Here is a 24,927-nt window from a genome sequence, read left to right as displayed (position 1 = left end):
ACCAAAGGTTGTAGCTTCCATCATCTCAATTAAGGTTCTGTACCTCACAGTCAGTCAATGTTTACAAGGCTCGTGGTTTCCCTTCCCTGAAGCTTCTATCAGAGAGAAATTGGCATGTTTTCCCCAGACCAAAGAGAGAAGCTAGCTTTTACCTCTAAGGCTATCCTGTGACCCCTATCATAGCTATTTAGGAACTTCTGACAGGTTCAGTGATCTTTCTCCATGTTCTCATTTTGTATAATGTGTGACATCTTTCTTTTGCTCACCTATTCTGAGGAAGTAGGCCCAGATTACAGGCTCTTCCCTGGTTATTTTCCTATTATTGTTGGGATAATTGATCTTCTGGTCCCTTTAGCCATCAGCTGAATATGCTCCTGGAGCCAGAATTCTCCTCCACTATCTCATGCCGGAGTCTGTCTGGGATTGGAGCAAGGAAGATCTCATGGTCTAGTCCTTTCCAAGATGTCAACAGTCACATGCTCGGTTTCCTACTGATGAGAGAATGGAGCTGGAATTTCACCCATCTCCATGGGATCCCCAAACCCATCTGGTCCACAGCCAGTCAGCCCACTGACCAACCTCCCACAGCCCCAGCCCATCCGTCCAGGCTGTCCATCTGGTTAGTTGGTGATGAGCACACCCCCTCTTCTCCTGCACCTCCTCTGTAACATGTGTTCAGTGGTGCTCCCTGGCATACCCCACAGCAGCACTAACATTTATATACTTTGCAAGGATGAGTTTTCTTTCCCTTGAATCTCCTAGGCTACATCCAAGATATCCCATTTTCCAAACCATGGAGACCTGTGTTAGCTGACCTATCTGACATTGTTTCCACTTTGTTGTGAAGTAAAAACCTCAGTGCACTACACCTGTCCCCTCTGTCATGGACTTGGCATGTCCTGGCAACTAGCAGGTAACTTGCTCACCATTTGAGGAGTACTGCTGCCAAGAAGAAGGGATTTAAGCCCTCAGTTGCAGCTATTAATCCTGAAGGCTTTCATCTTGGGTTTCCTGTTATGCTCTTCCCACCCATTCCTGTGGGGATCTCTTGGAAGACATGGTCCTTCCTGTCTACCAAAGATGGGGTGATTGCCTTACCTACCCAGACTAATTATGGAAAAGTTCTTATACTTTCATTAGGAGAACATTAGGTTGGCATTTTTCAGGTGAATATTGAACTGCAAAAGTAAGTTGATAATCATACCTGACATTTATTGAGAGTTTCCTATGTGCCGTGTACTGGTCTAAGAGCTATATATAGATTATCTCAATTTATCATCAAAACAACACAATGAAATAAGTATTATTATTAATATCTCTATTGGGGAAGCTCAGGTAGAGAAGAGTTAAATAACTTGCCCAAGGTCACACAGCTATTGAGGCACAAAGTTGGGTAAACACTCAAGAGATGGATTTGCTCTGAAGTTTCTTACAGAGCTGCAGAGGATGTAAAAATGCAGAGCTGTCTGGGTTTCATGTCGAAGGCCTGAATCCTGGCATATGTGCCTTGACTTTCAGAAGACTGAGTCCAGCAGAAAAAGTGGGAGAGATGGTGAAATCTGTTTGTGCTCATTCAGCATGCTCTTGCTGACCTGCTGTGTGCCTAGCACTGTGCATGGTATTGAGAGAGATAAAAGTCAAAGTGAAAGACACTGTGCATGGCTTTGAGGGCCTTACACATTACCCTGAAGGACAGGGCCATAAGCTGATGCTTTAGATCTCTGGTTATCAAAGATTGGTCTGTTTTCACTAATTTCAAGATAACTTATAGATCTGGCAAAACTACTATCCAAGAAAAGATGGACAGATGGATTGGCCAAAGGCCATACAACATAAGATGGCACCTGTGCTTGGAAGAATTCACCAGATTTTAAGTTTCAAAATCTTGAGTCACTTTACAGAAGAGGAAATTAAGACCTGGTATGGAAAAGTGACTGGCTTTGGGTCTAACAGGGGCACATTAAGGACTGGGATCCTGTGCCTGGACAAGCAGGGGTTGAGGGAGGCATCTCTAGCTGTCCCAGGAGCTTGAGAGGAGGTGTGGTGGAGGGAACAAAGCAGGTCTGGAAGAAGGGTAGTTGCAGAGAACTGAGTAAACCAAGGCAGGTTCAGTTCCTCCTGAGAGAAAGAGGCTGTTTAGTTTGGGGGTTCTGGGTTGAGAGGCTGTTTCTTGGCCACAGTTTCTTTTTTGGTAAGATATCAATGGTAAGTATCGACTTCAGTAAGTATGCTTCTGTAGTACTATGTAGTTACACAGATCACATATTGGATCGGAAAAGGCAGCGTAATAACAGTCATTATTATTAATGATATGCATCATTTAAAGTAACATAAATTATAGCATATTAATGATAATATTACATATGTTAAGTTCATAGACTCTCAAAGCTGGCAAAAGCTATCAGAGGTCATCTACTCCAGCCTCCCTCAATGGCTATCAGGATCCCCTGTTCAATATCTATACAAGCTCTCCTTAATCTTATTAAAAGGAAAATCATGCATGATGAATTTCAGGATTTACCCAAGGCAGGAAGTAGCTCTCTGTGCTCTAATCAGACCATGGCTCCATATTCCCGGTGGGCCCTTGTGAATCCATCATTCTTGACTTCATGGGAAATCCAGAGCCCAGACATCAAGCAGCTCCCAAAGACTGCTATGGTCAAAATAGTGTTAAAAAACTAGGTACAGAGCCAGGGTTCCAGCTGGAAAAATCTCAAGAGGTTCGATATTCCCTGCCAAATCAGCACTGGTCTCTATGATTTTGAGAGAAGAAAGGAGGCAGGGAAGTGGCAGAGAGCACATGGTAACCTCTGTACTCCCTGATGCCCTGAATGTTCTGACATACACAACAGCCCCAATAGTAGATGGAAGCACCTGGAAAACTGTAGACTTCACTGCTGGGCTGAGGATGGCCATCCTGCCCCTCACTCATTGGTTCCCTAATCCTTCTCACCTTTCATCTTTGTTCCAGGATTTTCCCAACAGCCAAAATCTAACATCCAGTATTCTGGAATGACACAAATGCTGCCACCAAAAACCTCCCACTGTTCCCCTTCTAGGATGGGAAGACTGCCAGGTGCCAGAAAAATCACTCAGTGAGAGCCTGGCTCTGATCAGAGGGCTGAGAGTGGGCCAGAGGCTCTCCACTTGAGAAGGGAGGTGAGCTCTTCCCAAGGGGTGGTGGGATGGTAGCCCATTGACCAGCCCTCTCTGACACCCTTTAATACCTGGGCCCCCTCTAGTCCGAAGACCATCCATTTGCTTGAGGTAGGGAGATTAAAATTAGTTCCCAATTTGGTCTTCTGAATCAACACACTGGTCCCAATGTGAGTGAAAAAAAATGTTAGAGAAACGGTTTCATCCTAAGGTCAGAGAGGGTTGGTTGAAGTGTGCATGGCTGGACAGGTTCCTTGGGTAGGGCTGATGCTTCACAGTTTGTTTGGGGAGAGCTGGGGTGCGCCAGGACATATAACTGCAGATGGGGTGACTCACCTACATGAAGAGGTTGGATTCTGTTTTTAAGGTAAATAGAGAAGACTGTGGGTCACTCCAGAGGTCTGGGAGCAGGCAGGGAGGACCTCAACAGTGATTAAGTGCAGAAGCCCAATTCTTCCTTGGTCTCCCTGCTTTTAAGAGTCCTGGTGAGGTTCCTTCTTCTAAGGAATCATGCAAACTGCTCTGGATTAGCTCAGCTTTGATTTGTGAGGGAAGCAGAGGCATGGAATTTTCTTGGGGCTTTTTTCTTGAGGCTCAAGGTCTTCCATCCTTTCTTAGGTTACAGTAAATGAAAGTTTGTGCCAGAAGTGAGAAAACTAGAGAAAGGGTGCCACCTGTGCTTTCTACCCCAAACCAAAGATGAAGGGGCTCAGACAAGAGTGCCTGATTCCAGGGCTCAACAGTGAGGGTTCCTTCCCTGCCTGCATTCAGCTTTGTCTGCAGAATGGTGGAAAAGAAACAAAACTGGAGACATTTATATGTAGAGGTATACAAAGTCAGCAGCACTGTCAGAAAGATTCTATAGCATCTCAACATTCCAAACATTTCTTTAGCATGGATGACCATTTCTTCCATTCTTTATCAAAAGTCTAATTTCTTCACATTACAAAAGTTTCCAAACTGAGGATCAAAGTTGTTTATTTGGCTTAGTTTTTATAGTGCTTATGGGACAGAAGTAGGTCTCAAACTTTAAATCTTCTGACCCCAGAACTGGAGTTCCCTTCACACCACATCCCCGCACTCATGCATTACAGTGATGGCTGGCTCCCACAGCAGGAAAAAGGGCAAAACATGAGGCTGAGAAGGCAGCCCAGAGCTAGGAAAGACAATGTCCATGCAAGTGGGAGGAGAGTCAGGCCTGGGAGAGGTAGACAAAGGGCACAGGACCCTGGAGAGTTGAGACGGGGCTGAAGATAGCAGCTCTGCCAGAATTCTCCATGGACAGGAGGCTCTCTCAGCTCTCCAGTGCCAGTCTAGCTGGGGCAGGGGTCAGAGATTATTGTCCATTGTGACCTGAGCAGGAAAGATGGAGTAAGAGGGATCTAGGCAAGGATAAGTAGGAAAGAGTGAGGCGCAGCAGAATCAGAAGAGTCTGGTTGGGAGGACACAGCTGTCCAGGTCCAGGCTATGGGCCCAGTCCACCCACTGTCCACATCTAAAGGTGGGGGAAGGAGCAGTGTGCTGGATAGGGCTCTACCTGGAGTGACCCTCTACTTAGTGAAACCAGGAGGCAAGTAGGGACCAACTAGGAGTCATGGTCATTTTCAAGATTTGTATTTGTCCTGTCTGCCTTGAGGTTCCAGTTCCTTCCTGTATGAAGGCAAAGAATCCCATCCGCCATGTAAGAATAGAGGCACATTGGGAAATCTTGAGGCCTGGCGAAGGAAGAAAGGACTGGCTTCTCCATAAATACTGGAGGTCTCATGGCACAGCCCCACTCATCAGATCCACTTGTCTCTTCCAGGGAATGGCTTGGAGACTAAATGGGTGGAAAATTGCTGAGGGTAATGAGCCACAGCCCTTCTAGATTGTTCCAGAGTGTTAATTGGATTGTTAATCAGTCATATCAAGTCTCCCTGGGAGGAAGGCTTTTGCACAGAAGGGTGGGACTCTTTCAGAAAATACCATGGTATCTGGATTGGCCTTGAACCAGCTAGCAAAGGGAGAAATCATGAGCACAGGACTCAGGATTCTTTCCCCTTTTGGTTGTGAGGCAGCATGAACAGGAAAGCTCTCAGCAGAATACAAAGGACTGTTCAAAGAGGGAAGAGGAAACTCATGTTATTTACCAAACACTGTGGTAAGCATCCCATATTTCTTATGTGTTATTCCTCATGAGCCTCACCCATCCTTCTGACACAGGGGTTGGATCATTCATTTTACAGTTGAGAAAACTGAGACACACAGAAGTTAAGCAGCCTGCTGCACGTCACACAACTAGTTAGGGGAAGAGCTGGAAAGTTACTCCTAAGTTACCTAAGGAACAGCAAGGGACATTAGAATTTCAGTGAACTTTCTGGAAGGAATCATAACATGTGAGCAATGAGGTTAAAAAAGTGAGCCTAAGATTAAAAAGCAGAAGCCATGAAGAAATGCACTGGGCAAATAATATTGACTTCTCTGTGCCTGTCCCAGTGCCTCATATGGTAAGAAATAAAAGGTTGCTCTTAAGGTCCTTAAAATTTGTCCTGTCAAACTAAGCATTAAATAATTCCCAGATCACTGCTGCCTTTTTGTTTCCAAAATGTAGGGGCTGGATGGAGAGGAGGAATAAGGTGGCAGGCCCTAACTACAGCTGCACAGATTAGGTGGCTCTCTCCCCAAGGAAGGCAAGGGCACCCCATGTCCATTCCTTCAAGAGCTGAGTCTTTTTCCTAGCTTCAATATCCTCAAATGTAAAATGGTTCTGGTATCTACCTCAAAAGAGTATTGTGTTTGTAAATTAAATAGCTCTATATAGTTATACAAATAACAAATAACCTGTAGGACTTGATAAGTCACCAACTCATGATGATTAATGTAATGGATCACTGATAAAACTGTTATAAATTACAAGACATTAATGGCCATTACATGGATATTAGGTCTGGAGTCTCAGAGCTGGAAAATACCAGAAATCTCCAAATAAGCCTTCCTCAGCTCATCAACATCCCTGCCAGGTGGTGTTATTCTGATTACAAATTATTCCTTAGTTTTAATTCATAAATCCTCTAAGGAAAAGAAAACATGATATTCTCATGCCTTGTGCTTCAAGGAGCTTAGTACTTGACTGTGGCTCCAGGTTTGTACATATTCCACGTTCCTGCTCCTTAAAAGACCCCAGAGCCATAACAGAAAACTGCCAGTATCTGCTGTGGTCACCACTGAAGTAGAAACATAGCCAGCCAGGGTCCTTGCTGGGAAATATTCGGGAAATCTTAGGTGTACGTTGTTCTCTTGCCAAATCAAGTCGGGTCTCCATGACACAGAGTGGAAGGAAGAAGGGGAAAGGCCACAGGGACACTGGCCAACTGTGAGGCCCCATTAAATAAATGTTGCATTCTGCTCTGAATTTCACTACCAGTTGTGCAGTTCAGGACTGTGGCCTACCACCTCCCAGATGCACAGCATAGGCCAATGATGGGGCACTCTCTTCACATTCTAAGCAGGACACCAGGACACCACCACCCTGCCACTAGTAATTTGTTCCCTAATAAGTCTCCGTTTACCTTCATTCAAGGACTCGAAGACCAAAGTTATAAAAATAGTAACCAATAAAATTCCACGACCTCAATACTAATCACTCTTTACTCCCATCCACATCCTCCCATTTGACCTGACATTGAGGTGGATATATTTGTTCCTTTAGTTCTTGCCCTAATATAAGGTAAATGCTCAGAGTAAACTGCCAGATATCTACTGAACCAACCGGTATCAGGTCCCTGCCTAAGATAACAAGGGCATCCTTCAAAGGGGGAAGTGGGAGGGCCAAGGATATCCCTTATAACAGCCCTCCCCATGGTCCATCTCCCTCTAGCACAAACACCAATTGAGCTGGTTTGGGGGAAAGAATAAAATATCAAGGTCTTCTGAATCAGCACACCAATCAGCCCAAGCAAAAAAGAATGACATAGAGCCTTTATTAAACTGGTTCTGAGGTATGTGGGACTAGCCTGGCTGGCTGACCAGGCTTCTTGAGCCCCACAGGCCTCTTTCACAGAAAGGGAGTTTGGATCAACAAGACCATGTACAAAAGGGGGATAATATACCTACGTGAGGAGCCAAGTTTCCATGTTGATGGTAAATGGAAAAACTTTTGAGTCAGAGCTGAGCTCTGGGACAAAAAGGGAAAAGAAGAGGGATGAAGGGAAGGGGCCCAATTCCTCTTGACTGATTCTAAAGCTCATAGGGGGATTCCAACTCACAGCTAGCCCTCTGTACTAAGGAACCAGACGAATCTTGACCTCCCAGGGAACCTAGACCTGGGAAGGCTGAACTTGCTATTTGAGGGTCAAGTCTACTCCCTGAAGGTGGAGTGCTGGATATTTTGATGGGGACAAGGAGGGACAATAGATCAACCTCAGCAAAGGCTGGTAAGCCTGGGCAAGGTTCCACAGGGATGGATCTTCCTAAGGGGTGGGGGGGCTTCCCAGTTCCTAGAAAATGGCGGTGCGCGCAGACTGCCTCCCTCCTCTTCATTGTAGCTTGATCCTGCGCAGTGACCGTTCCTATAAAAGAAAAAAAAAAATCAGAAGAAACTTGATACATAGGAAGACAAAACAGCAGAGAAATAAGACAAAGTTAAAATCACAAAATGTAATTGGCAGCACATCTGTTTTCCAAAGATATTTACATAATTACTCCCATTCTCACAAGAATTCTGGATTAGGGCATTATGATTGTGTCACTTTCCAGTTGAGCGGGCATGCCCACAAAGGGTAAAGTGTCTTTCCCATGATCACACAGCTTAGATGGAAGACTTGGGACTTGACAAGGGGAACTTCTGACCCCAGATCTGGGTTCCACCAGCCCCAACCCTTCATCAGTTACCATAGGGAGGGAAGGGAGAAATGGGAGCGAGGCGGCAGCGAGCCCAGGAGGAAAATACCCACACGGAAAGAGTCAGGCCTGGGAGGGGCCGGACCGGGGCACAAATGCTGGAGGTTTCAGAGATGGGCTGGCGCTGGCGAAGGCAGGTCTGCCAGTGACGTATTTGTCCTGTGGGTCCTGGGCTCTTTCGTGGCACGCAGGGCACTCTCCTTCCTGGGATGGGAGAATGGAATTCTTCTTCCGTGAGAGAGAAAATACGGAGGTGAAGAAGAGCAGAATGGGCGAGTACCAGACTGCAGCTGCAGCCAAGCCAGGGAAGAGGCTAAAGAGGGTCCTCGGCGGCTCCCGCAGGACATTCCCTCCCCAGCCGGTCGGGAAGCTCCACACCTAGGCGAGGACGGGCAGCAGCGGCCCTGGGAAGGCTTCCGTGGAAACTTCCAAAACCACCTTGCCAGGTAAGTGAAAGTGCGCTCCGTTCTCTAGCCACATCCTAGGCCAAGTAAGTTCTTCTTCATTCTTTCAGCAGTCCTGATCTTCTTGGGGAGCACCCCTAAATCAGCCTGTCAAGAAGGAAGGCAGGCTACGGGTATCTTCCAGGAACAGATGAAGGTTGCGAAATAACTGCCAACTGTCTTCTGCTCTGGCAGTTATCCCGTTAGCCACGCCCATCGCCCCACCCTTCTGGCAGGCCTCCTCCAATCAGAGGCCCTGCCCCACCCAGGGAGAAGCCCTGGGCCTTCCAGAAAGTTCCACAGCCTCTGATTGGTCCTAGACCAGCTTTCCTGGGTGGGAGTGGGGGCAGGGGACTCCTGGAGTCCATGCAGTATGCAGAGGGCGGGGGCTTGGAGGAAAGTCGTTGATGATGAGCACTGCCTGTTGGGGCTAAGGGAGGTGGGGCCTTCCAGAATTTAGGTGGGCCATGGCCTGGCTTCTGAGAGGACAGGCCCGACAGAGTTAGGGCTGTGCTGGTACTGTCTCCTGCTCTCTACTTAACAGGCCTTTGAACCCTGGGTGCCTGTGATCCTGGAGTCTTTTCATTTTACCCCAGTGGAAAGCACCACCCAGAAGGCACTTGTTTTGAGGTCTCACAAGAGTTAAGAGTACGACTGCAAATAGACCCCCCCAGTGCCATCCTATGACTTTTTCCCACCAACCAAAGGCCTGGCACTAGAGAGAAAATGCTTGAACAGACTCAGTCAGCTCCTAGGGACCCAAAGTCCTAACTGGAGGGTTTGCTACAACACCCTACTTTTCTTCCCCCGGCTAATCAGCAGTGCCTGGAAAACCCAGGCTCTGCTTCAAAGCCTCAGCATCAAGGGTCCGGCCAATGGGAGAAAGTTGCTGAGCAGATGAGAATGCTCTTGGCCAATGGAAGAGAATGCCTTAAAGGCCAATTGGGGGATGCCCATATATTTATATTTATTGGGCAAGTGTTTTGAAAGACCTTGTTCTGAAAAGTTCAAATGTACCATTATATTTGAGCCTCCCATATCCCTTTTTAAAAAATTGATATAAAATTAATGTAGCATAGAATTAACAGTATTTAGTGTACAATTTAGTGGCTTTCAGTTCAATCATAAAATTGTGCAATCATTATCACTAACCCTATTGCAGAATATTTTTATCACCCTCAAAAGAAGCTCCATACACACTGGTATGGTTTAGATCTGTGTCCTGCCCAAATCTCTTGTCAAATAATAATCTCCACTGTTGGAGGTGGGGCCTAGTGGGAGGTGATTGGATCATAGGGGTGACTTCTTATGGTTTAATACCATCCTCCTTGATGCTGTCATGGCAATAATGAATTCTCCTGATATCTGGTTGTTTAAAAGTGTGTGGCACCTCCCTCCTCCCTCTCTTTCTCCTGCTCTGGCCATAGGAAGTGCTTTCTCCCCCTTTGCCTTCTACCATGACTGGAAGTGTCCTGAGGCCTCCCCAGAAGCAGAAACTGCTATGTATGCTTTCTGTACAGCCTGTGGAACTGTGAGCCAATTAAACCTTTTTTTGTTTGTTTGTTTTTGAAACAAGGTCTCATTCTGTCACCCAGGCTGGAGTGCAGCAGAAACTTCTTTATAAATCACCCAGTCTCAAGTATTTCTTTATAGCAGTGATAGAACAGACTAACGCATTCATTAAGCAGCCACTCCCCGTTCTGCCCTCCCTTCATCCTCTGATTGGCTTTCTGTTTCAATGCATTTGCCCGTTCTGGGCATTTCATGTAAACGGAGTCATACAATAGGTAACCTTTTGTGTTTGGCTTCTTTCAATTAGCATAATATTTTCAAGGCTCATGAGTATCATAGCCTGTGCCAGTTCTTCATTATTGGTAAGGTTTATATTCCACTGCATGAATATACCATATATTGTGTATCCAATTGATGGACATTTGGATTGTTTCTACTTTTTGACTGTTAGGAATAATTCTGCTGTGGACATTGTGTACACCTGTTTTTGTTTGGACATGTTTCCAGTTCTGCTGGATATGTACCTAGGAGTAGAATTGCGGGGTCATGTGGTAATCCTATATTTAGATTTTTGAGGAACTGCCAAAATGCTTCCCACAGTGGCTGAACCATTTTGTGTTTCTACCAGCAATACATAAGGGTTCTGATCTCTCCACATCCTTGTCAACACTTGTTTTCTTTTTGTTGTGATTGTTAAATTCTAGCTATCCTAGTAGGTGTGAAGTGTTATCTCATTATGGTTTTGATTTGCATTTCCCTTATTACTAAAGATTCTGAATATCCTTTTATGTATTTATTGGTTATATTTTCTTGGTACATCTTTTAAGAGAAATATCTGTTCTAGTCCTTTGACAATTTAAAAAAAATGATTTCTGTATCTTTTTGGCTTGTTACTGAATTTTGGTTTGTTGTCAAATTTTAAGAGTTCTTTATATATTCACAGTCCTAGACCTGGCTTTGTCTATTTGTGATGCTGTAACAAAGTGTCATAGACTGGATGGCTTAGAAACAACAGAAATTTATTTCTCACAATTTTGGTGACTGGGAAGTTAAAAGATCAAGGTGCCAGCAGATTCAGTGTCTAGTGAAGGCCTACTTCCTGGTTCATACATGGCCATCTTGCAGTATGTCCTATATACTTTATTAAAGTATATACTTAGGTTATGTGGTGGAAGTAACAAGGAAGTTCTCTCAGGCCTCTTTTATAAGGGTGCTAATCCCATTCATAAGGGCTCTGCCTCGTGAATTTGGGGGAAGTATTTAGTTCATAGGAAGTTTCTCACAGGATATATGATTAGCAAATAATTTCCCTCAGTTTGTTGGTTATTTTTCCACTTGATAGTGTTCAATGCACTAAGGTTTCAATTTTGACGAAGCCCAATTTATTATTTTTCCTTTTGTTGCTTGTGTTTTTGGTATCCTATCTAAGGATCTATTGCCAAATCCAAGATTATGAAGATTTGTTTTCTTAAATAAGAGTTATAGTTTTAGCACTTAACGTTTGGTCTTTTATGAGTTTTAATTAATTTTTGTACATGTTGTGAGTGGAGGTCCAAATTGATTCTTTTATATGTGCTTTTCCAGCTGTCTCCCAGCACAATTTGTTGAAAATAGAATTCTTTCTCTACTGAATGGTCTTGAGACCTTTGGAGAAAATCAATTAACCATAAGTATATGAGTTTATTTCTGGACCCTAAATTTGATTCCATTGAGCTATGTTTCTATGCTTGTATGTATTCATAAGTCAGTTGGTAGTTCGTGTCTTCCTAGGAATTTGTCTATTTCATTTAGGTTATCTAATTTGTTGGTATATAATTGCTCATATGATTTCTTTATAACCCCATTTATTTCTGTAAAGTCAATGTAATGTCCTCTCTTTCATTACTGATTTTAGTAATTTGAGTCCTCTTTTTTCTCTTGGTAAGTCTAAAGTTTTGATTTTGTTAATTTTGTTTATTTTTTTTAAATAACCAATTTTTGTGCTTGTTCATTTTCTCTATTGTTTTTCTTTTCTCTATGTCATTTATGTACACTTTACGCTTTATTATTTCCTTTATTATGTTTGCTTTGAATTTAGCTTTTTCTTTTTTCTAGTTTATTATATACTTAGGTTATTGATTTGAGATATTTTTTTTTTTTAATGTGGATGTTTCCAATGAAAAATTTTCATCTAAATACTGCTTTTGTTGTATCCATACATTTTGGTATGCTTTTGTTTTGTTTTGATTTATATCGGAGAATTTTCAAGTGTCTCATGATTTATTATTTGAGCCATTGGATTGGTTAAGAATTTGTTTGATTTCTACACATTTGTGACTTTCCAAATTTCCTCTCATTATTGATTTCTAATTTTATTCCGTTGTGATTGAAGAAGATACTTTATATAATTTTATTTTTTATGCTTACTGAGACTTCTTTTGTTGCCAAACTTATGGTCTGTACTGGACAATGTTCCATGTGGATTTCAGAAGAACATATACTGTTCAATTGAGTGTTTTATAGATGTCTATTAGGTCCAGTTATTTTATAGTGTTGTTCAAGCCTTCTATTTCCTTGATCATCTCCTGTCTAGTTATTGCAGCCATTATTAAAAGTGATATACTGAGGTATCCAAGTATTATTGTTGAATTGTCTGTTTCTCCCTCCAACTTAACAGCTGTTATTTCATATATTTGGGGCTCTGTTGTTAGGTACATATAATGTATAGTTGTTATATCTTCTTTCTTGTACTTTTTAGGGGAACATTATATATTTTTGAATTAAGTTAGTTTCATTCCTCACTGTTTAGAGATACAATGTTTCTAGCCATATATTGTCCTCTGATTACTGTTTTAAACATATCTTATAGATAGGATATCTAGTGGTTTAATTGTCTTTTTTTCAGAATCCTTTAATTCTTGTTTGTATCTTAATTATCACTCAATTGTTTAACAATAGATTGTTTTAAAGTTCCAATTGGAAAGGCATCTTTTAAAATATTTTTTGATGCAAAAATCTTCTCTTAACAGTTTTAATGAGATATAATTGGCATATAATAAACTTCATATATTCAAGATGTACAATTTGATGAATTCCGACATTTATAAAAACCAATGAAATCATCATCATGATCAAGATAATGAACATACCAAAAAAAAATTTGTGTCCCATTGTAATCTAGCTCTCAACCTTGTTCCCCACAAGCAACCACTCACCTGCTTTGTCACTGTGGGTTAGTTTGCACTGCATAGAATTTAATATAAATGGAATCATACAGTATGTACTCAATTTTTTATGAATTATTTCACTCAGCATAATAGTTTTGAGATTTAAACAAGAATTTTAGTGTTAATTTCTTTTTATTGTTGAATAGAATTCTATCATATGGATATACAATAATTTGTTTATCTAGTCACCTGATGATGACATTTCTGTTGTTTCCAATGTTTAGCTAATACAAATAAAGCTGCTAGGAAACTTGGAGGACATTTGTATGAACATATGCTTTTATTCCCTTGGATAAATATTTAGGAGTTGAATGACTCTATCATATGATAAGTGTATGTTTAACTTTTTAGAAACTACCAGCCAGGTGCAGTGGTGCACTACTGTAATCTCAGCTACTCAAGGTGCTGAAGAGGGTCCCCTTGAGCCCAAGAGTTTGAGGCCAGCTTGAGTAACATAGCAAGACCCCATCTCAAAAAAAAAAAAAGAAAAAAGGAAAGAAACTACCAAATTGTTTTCCAAAGTGATTGTACACTTTAATTCTCAAGAGCAATATGTGAGAGTTTTTAGTTCCTCCAAATCCTTATCAATATTTGACAAAGTTAGTTTTCTAAATTTAAGTCATTCTGAAATGTGTGTAGTGGTATCTCATTGTGGTTTTAGTTTGCATTTTTCTAATGACTATGAATGTTGAGTGTTTTTTCATGTGCTTATTGCTACCTGTACAATTTCTCTGGTAAACTATACATTCAAATCTTTTGCCCATTTTCTTATTGGTTTGTATTGCTATTTACTTATTGAGTTTTGAAAGTTTTTATATGTGTTACATACAAGTCCTTTGTTAGATATATGTATTTTGCAAATATTTTCTCCTAGCCTTTAGCTTGTATTCTCATTCTCTTAAGAGACAAAGAAGATTATTATATAATGATAAAAGAGTCAATCCACAAGGAATATTATAACAATTATAAATATATATGCACCCAACATTAGAGCTCCTAAATATATAAAGTAAACATTAACAGAACTAAAGGGAGAAATATATAGCAATGCAATAATAGTAGGAGGCTCCAACACCCCACTTTCAATAGTGGACACAACATCCAGAGAGAAGATTAGTAAGGAAACAGAGAACTTGAATAACACTATAAACCAAATGGAGCTAACAGACATATACTGAATATTTCACCCAATAGCAGCATAGGGATCTTTCATCAAGATAGATCACATAGTAGGTTGCAAAACAAGTCTTAACTATTTTAATAGGGTTAAAATTATATCAGATATCTTTTCTGACCACAATGGCATGAAGCTAGAAACCAATAGCAGAAAGAAAACTGAAAAATGCACAAATGTATATAAATTAAATACATTCTTGAACAATCATTGAGTCAAGGAAAAAAATTGAAAAGAACATTATAAAATACCTTGAGAAAAACAAAAATGAAAAAAACATATAAAACTTAGAGACGCAGCAAAAGCCGTACTTAGAAGGAATTTCATAGGAAGAAACATCTACATTAAAAAAGAAAACAGATCTCAAATAAACAACCTAACTTTATTCCTCAAGGAATCAGAGAAAGAACAACAAACTAAGCCCAAAGTTAGCAGAAGGAAGGAAACAACAATGATTAGAGCAGAAATAAATGAAACAGAAAATATAAAAGCAATAGAAAAACGTCAACAAAACTAAGATCTGTATTTTTGGAACGATAAGCAAAATGTTTACAAATGGACAATAGCTTAGAATAAGAAAAACAGATAAAAACTAAAATAACGTCATAAATGAAAGAAGGGTCATTAGAACTAGTGCCACAGAAATTTAAAAAGATCATAAGAGACTTCTGGGAACAATTATATACCAACACACTGGATAGCCCAGAAGAAATGGATACATTCCTAGAAACATACAACCTACCATGATTAAATCATAAAGAAACTGAAAGCCTGCACAGACCTGTAAGTAGTACAGCGATTGAATTAGTCATCAAAAACCTCCTAACAAAGAAAAGCTCAAGACCAGATGACTTAACTGGTGAATTCTACCAAACATTTAAAGAAAAACTAACACTAAACCTTCTCAAACTCTTTCAAGAAGTTGAAGAGTGGGGAATACTTCCAAACTCATTTTAAGATGCCAGCATTATCCTGATACTAAAACCAGACAAAGAGACCACAAGAAAAGAAAACTACAGGCCAGTATCCAGTATCCCTGAGGGATATATATGCAAAAATCCTCAATATACTATCAGCAAACTGAATCCAATAGCATATTATAAAAATCATACATTATGACCAAGTGGTATTTATCCTGAAATGAAAGGTGATTCAACATACAAAAATTAATGTGATATACCACATTAAGAGAATAAAAGATTAAAATTACATGATTGTCACAATAGATGTGGGAAAAGTGTTTGGCAAAGTTCAACACTCTGTCATGATAAAAATTCTCAACAAACTAGAAATAGAAGGAAACTACGTCACCATAATAGAGGTCATATATGAAAACTTCACAGCTAACACCATACTCAATGGTGAAAAACTAAAAACTTTTCCTGTAAGATTAGCACCAAGGCAAAGATGCCCACTCTTGCCACTTCTATTCAACATAGTATTGGATGTGCTACCCAAAGCAATTAGGCAAGAAAAAGAAAGAAAAGGTATCCAATTTGGAAAGCAAGACATAAAATTATCCCTCTTGCAGATGGCTTAATCTTATATATAGAAAACTCTAAAGACTCCATTAAAAAAACTATGAGAACTGGCCAGCCACAGTGGCTCACACCTGTAATCCCAGCACTTTGGGAGGCTGAACTAATAAATAGATTCAGTAAAGTTGTAGAATACAAAAATAACAACAAAAATCAATTGTGTTTCTATATACCAAAAACAAACTATCTGAAGAGGAAATTAGGAAAACAATCCCATGCACAATAACACCACAAAGAATAAAAATACCTAGGAATAAACATAACCAAGGAGGTAAAAGACTTGTATAATAAAAATGGCTGATTTCAAAATATTTTACATTACAAAGTTATGATAATCAAAACAATATAATGCCAGCATAAAAACAGACATATAGACCAATGAAACAAAATAGCGAGCCCAGAAATAAGTCCGCTCATAAATGCTCAACTGATCATCCACAAAGGAGTGCCAAAACTACACAATGGGTGAAAGAATCTCTTCAAGAAATGATTATGGAAAACTGGATATTCACATGCAAAGAAATAAAACTGGACCCTTATCTTACACCACCCACAAAAACCAAAATTGATTAAAGATTTAATTGTAAGACTGAAGTTGTAAAACACCTACAAAAAGCATAGAAGAAAAGCTTCATGACTTAGTCTTGGCAATGATTTTATGGATATGACAGAAAAGCACAGGCAATAAAAACAAAAATAAATAAGTGAGACTACATTAGACTAAGAAGCTTCTGCACAGGAAGTCATTGATAAAGTGAAAAGACAAACTACAAAACAGAAGAAAATATTTGCAAGCTTTATATCTGATAAGGGGTTAATCTCCAAAATATGTAAGGAACTCCTACAACTCAATAGGCAAAAAACAAACTATTAACCTGATAGTTAGGTTACTAAACATCAACGTTCAACATCAATAAACATCAAGGAAATGTAAGTCAAAACCACAATGAGCTAACATCTCACACTTCTCAGGATGGCTATTATCAGAAAAACCAAAGTGTTGAAGAGGATGTGGAAAAACTGGAATCCTTGTACATTGTTGGTGAGAATGCAAAATGTTGCAGCTGCTATAGAAAACAGTATAGAAGAAGATCCTCAAAAAAATAAATAGTAGGATTATCATATGATCTAGCTATTCCATTTCTGGGTATTTATCCAAGAGAATTAAAATCAGGATATCAAAGAGGTATTAGCATTCCTCTACTCATTACAGCATTATTCACAAAAGCCAACATGTGGAAGCAACCTAAATGTCCATAGACGGATAGATGAATAAAGAAAACATGGTATATACATATGATGGAATAATATTCAGCCTTAAAAAGGAAGGAAATTATGTAATGTGTGACAACATAGATGAATCTTGAGGACATTATGCTAAGTGAAATAAACCAGTGATATGATTTGGCTGTGTCCCCACCCAAATCTCATCTTGAATTGTAATCCCCATAATCCCCACATGTCTAGGGACAGACCTGGTCGGAAGTGATTGGATCCTGGGGGCAGTTTCCCCCATGCTATTCTCGTGAGAGTGAGTGAGTTTTCATGAGATCTGATGGCTATAAGGCAGTTTTCCCTGCTCTTGCTCACACTTCTCTCTCCTGTCACCATGTGAAGAAGATCCTTGCTTCCCCTTCACCTTCTGCCATGATTTTAAGTTTCTTGAGGCCTCCCCAGCCATGTGGAACTGTGAGTCAATTAAACCTCCTCCTTTTATAAATTATCTAGTCTCAGGTATTTTTTTTATAGTACTGTGAAAATGGACTAATGCAGCCAGTCACAGAAAGACTGCATGATTCCACTTATATGAGCTCTCTGGTGGTTGCCAGAGAATAGGAGGAGGAGGAAATGGAGAGTTACTAATCACCAGGAATAAAGTTTCAGTCAAGCAAGATAAATAAGCTGTAGAGATCTGCTTTATCACATTGTTCCTATAATCAGCAACAACGTGTTGTACACTTAAAAATTTGTTCAGAGGATAGATCGCATGTTAAGTGTTCTTTCAACAATAAAATAAAATAGTTTGATCAAGGTTGCAAAATGTATGTTTGTACAGATTTACAGGTTTTAAAAATGGTATTCAAATACATGATAATTAATATACAGGAAAAAGAGTGTATTTTGAAGAAAAGAAGTTTTTAATTTTGATGAATCCCAATTTACCAATTTGTTCTTTTATATGGGTCATGATTTTGGTATCATCCCTAAGAAATCTTTGCCTGATCTCCACAGTTGTAAATGTTTTTTCTTAAGAAGTTTTATGCTTTCAGATTCTACATTTAGATCATTTAGATCTGCTCTCTCTCTGTCTCTCTCTATATATATATAAATAAATATAAACACACACACACATATATATAGCAGATCAAAATTATATACGTATATATACTTTTTTTTTTTCTGTCACCCAGGCTGGAGTGCAGCGGTACGATCTTTGCTTACTGCAACCTCTGCCTCCCGGGTTCAAGTGATTCTCTTGCCTCAGCCTCCTGAGTAGCTGGGACTACAGGTGTGCACCACCTTGCCCAGCTAATTTTTGTATTTTTTAGTAGAGATGGGGTTTCACCATGTTGGCCAGGCTGGTCTCAAACTTCTGGCCTCAATTGACCTGCCCACCTCAGCCTCCCAAAAAGCTGGGATTACAGGTGTGAGCCACTCTGCCCAGCCTAGATCTGCAATATATTTTGAGTTAATTTTTGTATATGGTACAAGGTATGGATGGAATTTTTTTTGCACATTCTGTTGGAAAAGGTAGATATCCACATGCAAAAGAAGGAAGTTGTAGCTTTATGACCATGAATGGATGTATTTCTGGGCTCTATTTTGTTTCACTGGGCTATATGTCAGTTTTTATGTTAGTATCATATTTTGTAATTTGTTACAGAACCATTTGTTGAAAGCTGTATCTCTTCTCCACTAAATTATCATTGAACCTTTGTCAAAAGCCAGTTGTCCATATCTGTGAGGGCCTATTTCTAGACTTCTTATTTATTTCATTGATTTATTTGCCCATTTTTATGCTAATTTCACACTGTCTTGATTACTCTAGATGGTTAGGCTTTGTGTCTCCACCCAAATCTCATCTTGAATTGTAATCCCTGTAATTCCCATAATCCCCATGTGTCAAGGGAGGGACCAGGTGGAGGTAATTGAATCACGGAGGCAGTTCCCCCATGCTGTTCTCATGATAGTGAGTTATCATGAGATCTAATGATTTTATGAGGGCCCCTTCCCCCTTCACTGGGCATTTCTCCTTCCTGCCATGCTGTGAAGAAGGTGCCTTGCTTCCCCTTCTGCCATGATTGCAAGTTTCCTGAGGTCTTCCCAGCCATGTGGAACTGTGAGTCAATTAAACCTCTTTCCTTTATAAATTACCCAGTCTTGGGTATTTCTTTATAGCAATGTGAGAACAGACTAACACACTAACTTTATATTAAGTCTTGAAATCAAGTAACATTAATCCTCCAAATTTGTTCTGCTTTTTCAAAGTTATTTTGGCTGTTCTAGGTCCTTTGATTTCCATATTGATTTTAAGATCAGCTTGCCATTAAAAAAAAAAAAAAGCCTGCTGAAATTTTGATTGGGGTTGCATTAAATCTAATTGTAAATTTGGGAATTTACAGCTTAATAATATTGAGTCTTAATTATAAATATGGTCTATTTATGTCTATTTTAAGTTATCTCATCAATAATTTATATATTTCAATTTTCAGATCTTGCACATCTTTTGTCAGATTTATTCATAAATAGTTCATATTTCTGATGCAATTAGAAATGGCATTTTAAAAATTTCAATTTCCTATCATTTTTTACTAATACACAGAAATACAATTGATTTTTGAATATGACCTTGTATTACACAACATTGCTAAAATCATGTATTACTTCTAGTAATTCTTATTGTGGATTCCATAGGAATCCACTCTATTCCATTGGATTTTCTATATAGACAATCATGTCTTCTGTGAATAAAGACAGTTTTACTTCTTCCTTTCAAACCTGGATGCTTTATATTTTATTTCCTAGCCTTATGGCTCTAGCTACAACTTGCAGTAAATATTGAATAGAAATAGTAACAGCAGACCTCCTTATTTGTTCCTCTTCTTGGGGGAAAGCATTCAGTCTTTCATCATTAAGTATGATATTATTTGTAGGCTTTTAAAAGACACTATGAGATTGAGGAAGTTTCCTTCCATTCCTAGTTTCCTGAAAGTTTTTTTTTTTATCAGAAATTGATATTCAATTTTTAAAATGCTTTCTCTGTGTCTGCAAAGATGATCACATGCTTTTTGTTTCCTAATATGGTAAACTTTATTGATCAAGTTTTAAAAATGTTGAACCAACCTTGAATTCCTGGGATAAATCTCACTTGTCTTGACATATTATTCTTTTAATATTTTGTTGTATTGATTTGCTAAAATTTTGTTAAGAATATTTATATCTGTATTTATGAGGGATATTGGTCTTTAGTTTTCTTTGCTTATAATATCTTTGTCTGGTTTCGATATCAAGGTGACAGTTGTCTTATCAAATGACTTTGCAAGTACTCCCTTCTCTTAACATCTGGAAGAGTTGGTGTTGCATTGGTATTAAGGCTTTCTTAAATGTTTGATAGAATTCATCAGTGAAGTTGCCTGGGTCTGAAGTTTTCCTGTTTTGAAGGTTTATGATTACAAGTTAAATTTCTTTTGTAGACATAGGACTGTTCAGGTTATCTATTTCTTCTTACATAAAGTTTGGGAGTTTATGTCTTTCAATGAATTTACTCATTTGATCTAAGTTGTTAAATTTATTATAAAATTGTTCAAAAATATGTTTTTATTATCCTTTTAATGTCCATAGAATCAATAGTGATATCACCTCTCTTAGCTTTGGTATTGGAATTTGTGTTTTCTCTAATTTTTTTCTGATAGTGCTTTATTTATGTGAGACTATTATTCTTTTCTAATTAGGTGTCTAGTGCTATAAATTTCCCTCTGAGTAATACCTTAGCAGCATCCCACAAAGTTTGATAATTTTTTGTTCTCATTTTTATCCAGTTCAAAATACTTTATAATTTTCTTTTAAATTTCTCTTTTGACTCCTGGCTTATTTAGAAATATGTTATTTGGTTCACAAATATATGGGAATTTCAATAATCTTTTTGTTACTGATTTCTACATTAATTCCATTGTGTTATAAACTAATGTAAAATAACAATGTAAATAACATACTTTCCATGATATGAATTATCTTAAATGTATTAAAATTTGTTTTGGCTCAGAATATCTTGGTTTCACTTGAGAAGAATGCATATTCTGTTGTTTTTTGGATGCAGTGTTCTATACACGTCAATTAGTTCAACTTGTTTGATTGTGCTGTTCAAATCCTCTGTATTTTTACTGATTTTCTATTTGTTGTATCAGTTATTGAGGGAAGGGTATTAAGACTTTCAGCTATAATTGTGGATTCATCTATCCAGTCTTTGTTTAATGTATTTTGAAACTCTGTTGTTAGGCACGTGGACATTTAGGAGTTTATGTCCTTACAACTGATTAGTTATCATTTATCATTTGAAACTTACTAAATTACTTTCTTTATCCTTGGTAATATTCTTTGTTCTGAGATCGACTTTGTTTGATGTTAACAAACCACTCCAGTTTTTAAAGAATTAGTTTTAGCGTTGTATACCTTTTCCTATTCCTTTGTTTTATTTGTGTCTTTATATTTAAAGTGAGTTTTATGTCAGCAGCAATAGTGATGCTTGCTTTTTTTCTCAACTTTAATAATTTCTGCCTTTTAATTGGGGTGTTTAGATTCATGCAGTGTGGCCACATGCATTTACATGCAATGTGACTATTGATATGATTAGGTTTAAGTACATTGGCTTACAACCTGTTTTCTATTTGTCCCATATGTTCTTTATTTTCGATTTCCTCTTTTTTTTTGCTTTCTTTTGAATTCATTGAGCATTTTTTTTTTTTGTTAACTCCATGTTCTTTTCTTTGTTGGCTTATGATCTATAATACTTTGTTTTGCTATTTCAGTGGTTGCTTTAGGGTTTGCAGCATACTTCAACTTATGACAATATACCTTCAAGTAAATTTATACTACTTTATACCTAGTATAAGAGCCTTTTAATAGTGTATTCCATTTATCTCCCTCTGGCCTTTAAACTGTTTCTGTCATATATTTTACTTTAACATATATCATAAATTATACACTACAGTTATTTTTATTCTAAATGCAATTATCTTTTAAAGAGACTTAAATAAGAAAATCCTATACAGATGGTCTCTGAGTTAATGATGGTTCAACTCATGATTTTTGGATTTTATGGTTGTACAAAAACTATATGCATTCAGTAGAAAGCTCCACTCTCCTATGTGGCTGAGCAGCAGTAGCAAGCCACAGCTCCCAGTCAGCCACACAGTCAGGCAGATAAACAACCAATACTCCTACAGTGTATTGTGTTGCCAGATGATTTTGCCCAACTGTAGGCTAATGTTAAGTGTTTGGAGCATGTTTAAGGTAGGGTAAACTAAGCTATGATGTTCAGTAGTTTAGGTGTATGAAATGCATTTTTGACTTAAGATATTTTCAACTTACAATAGGTTTATGGAGATGCACTCCATCGTACATCAAGGAACATCTCTATATTTATCCACCTGGATACCATTTCCTGTGCTTTCATTTCTTTGGGTAGATTTGTATTTCAGTCTGCTATTATTTTCCCCTCTGCCTGAAAGACCTTCTTTAACATATCTTGTAGTGTGACTCTGCTGGCATGAATGCTTTCAGCTTTTGCATGTCTAAAGAATTCTTTATTTGCCTTCATTTTTGAATTCTACATTGACAGTTTACTTCTTTTAGTACCTTAAAGATGTTACTACACTGTCTCCTTGCTCTCATTGTTTCTGACTAGAAGCTGCTATCATCCTTATCTTTGTTGCTCTTTATGTAAGTTGTCTTTTTCTCTGTTGCTTTTAAGGTTTTCTGTTTATCACTAGTTTTGAGTAATTTTATGATTTGGCTTAGCACAGTTTTCACTGTGTTTCTTGTGTTTGGGGCTTTTGAGCTTCTTGGGTCTGTGCATTAATAGTTTTTATCAAATTCAGATTATTTTAGGCTACTACTTTTCTTCAAATTTTTTTTCTGTCTCTTTCTTGTCTTTTCTTTGGAGACTCCAATTACAGGTATGATAGGCAGCATGAAATTGTCCTATAACTTACTGATGCTGCTTTTATTTTGATTTTTATTGTTTCAGACATTAGAGACATTCTCTGTGTTTTATTTTAGATTGATTCTGTTGCTATCTTTAAGTTCAGTCATCTTTCTTTTTTCTAATGTCTAATCTGCCATTAATCCCATTCAATGTATTTTTCATGTAAAACATAGTAGTTTTCAGCTGTAGATGTTCAATTTAGAACTTTTAGACATCTTGTATGTCTCTATACCAACTTTTTTGAACATATGGATTACAATCATAACTGTTTCAACGTCCTTGCCTGCTAATTATAACACGTGTCCTGTTCTGGTTGGTTTTAATTGATTGATTTTTCTCCTCATTATGGGTTGTATTTTCCTGCCTCTTTCCATCCTTGGCAATTTTTTATTGGATGCCAGACATTATGAATTTTAATTTATTGGGTGTTGGTTATTTATATATTCCCTATAAATACTCTTGAGTTTTGTTTTGGAGTGCTGTTAAGTTACTTGGAAACAGTTAATCCTTTCATGTCTTGCTTTTAAGATTAGTTAGGTGGAATGATAGCAGCATTTAGTCTAGAGCATTCTGAGGTAAGATCTTCATGAGTACTTGACACAATTCTGCGTGAATTATGAGATTTTCCAGCTCAGCTATTCGGAATAGACACGATTCTTGGCCCTGTAAACGTACCTGGCAATGTTTCCTCTAATCCTTTCAGGTAAGTCTTTGTGTGGCTTTGAGTAGTTCCTTGCATGTATCTACTGATCTGCATTCCACTGAATACTTGAGGGAGACCCTCTGCCGCTCTCTTCTCTCCAGTACTCTGCCCTGTGAACTATGGCCATCCTGATCTTCTCAGACTTCCAGTTCCTCAAGTCAGTGTGTCTACCTGGGCTCCCCTTTTCTGCACTGAGGCCTGGAAATCCACTCAAGGGGCTTAGCTGGTGAAATTGTAGAACTATCTCATTTGTCTTCCAGTTCTTCAGGATCACTGTCTTTCATGGTTTGATGTCCAGTATCTTAAAAATCATTGTTTTAAATGTTTCCTTCAGATGTTTTTGTTGTTTGAGGCTGGAGAGTGAAGTTAGTCTCTTTTCCTTTATCTTTGGAAGGGCATTTTAAATTTTTGCCTTTTGTTTCTACTTTTACTGCATTGTGATTAGATAATTCTGTTTATAATATTCCTACTATGGAACTTACTTATATTTCCTTTGTGATCTAATATAGGAGGAATTTCAATAAATTTTTCACTTCTGCTTGAGAAGGGAAAATATTCTTTATTAAAGGGTACAGCGTTTGATACATATTTATGAAATCTAATTTATCATTGACATTGGTTAAGTCTTCTCTATCCATATTTATTTTTTGTTCACATGACTTCTCTTGTCCTGAAAGTAATGTGTAAAACTATCTTATCATTATTGTTTCTGTCTATTTATCCTAGCATTGCTGTAATTTTTATTTTACATACAGATGGGTTTTGTATAATCTCTTACATAGATATTATTTAATAAATAATATATTTTATTGTAGGTCGTTGGTTTTTGCATTATAATGCTATTAATTTTCTTGTTTAATAGCATTTTGTTCTAAATTCTGCATTGGGTGATATTAGAGTAGCTACTCCTGCTTTAGAGTTATTCCCATTGAGCTAGCATGACTTTTCCCATCTTCTTCTTTACATTCTCTTTTTCATTAAAATTAAAGCCTTTGGATCACTTTGTTTTCAATGTTTCTCCTATATGCGGAATATGCCACAGTCTATTGCTTTGTAAGTTATTTTGAAAATCCATTTCTTTTAGTAGGCAACTTAAGCTCATTCTCATATACT

The 24,927-nt window shown here is 38.3% G+C and overlaps 1 long non-coding RNA gene across 3 annotated transcripts, besides 1 other annotated feature; it reads right to left on the bottom strand.

Annotated features, from left to right (window-relative positions):
* Positions 1-7,091: 7,091 nt before the first annotated feature.
* TDRG1 (testis development related 1) lies at positions 7,092-8,648 on the bottom strand. Of its 3 annotated transcripts, none has more exons than NR_160960.1 (3): positions 8,413-8,648; positions 8,088-8,262; positions 7,092-7,703 (listed from the first exon to the last, which is right to left on the bottom strand). It is a non-coding gene; the product is annotated as a testis development related 1 (long non-coding RNA). The 3 variants fall into 3 exon arrangements; NR_160959.1 differs by having other exon boundaries at positions 8,088-8,238; NR_160958.1 differs by having other exon boundaries at positions 8,088-8,648.
* Positions 7,469-8,668: an enhancer, noted in NCBI's record as "BRD4-independent group 4 enhancer chr6:40346056-40347255 (GRCh37/hg19 assembly coordinates)". NCBI's record gives its function as "activates an origin of replication core promoter dependent on BRD2, P300/CBP, MED14 and CDK7 cofactors, and independent of BRD4, by STARR-seq in HCT116 cells {active_cell/tissue: HCT116}" and the evidence as "EXISTENCE:reporter gene assay evidence [ECO:0000049][PMID:35650434]".

The sequence above is a fragment of the Homo sapiens genome, chromosome 6 (genome assembly GCF_000001405.40).
Source record: "Homo sapiens chromosome 6, GRCh38.p14 Primary Assembly".
Taxonomy (NCBI): domain Eukaryota; kingdom Metazoa; phylum Chordata; class Mammalia; order Primates; family Hominidae; genus Homo; species Homo sapiens.
Note: the sequence above shows the minus strand (reverse complement) of the source record. Positions and strands in the feature narration are given on the sequence as shown.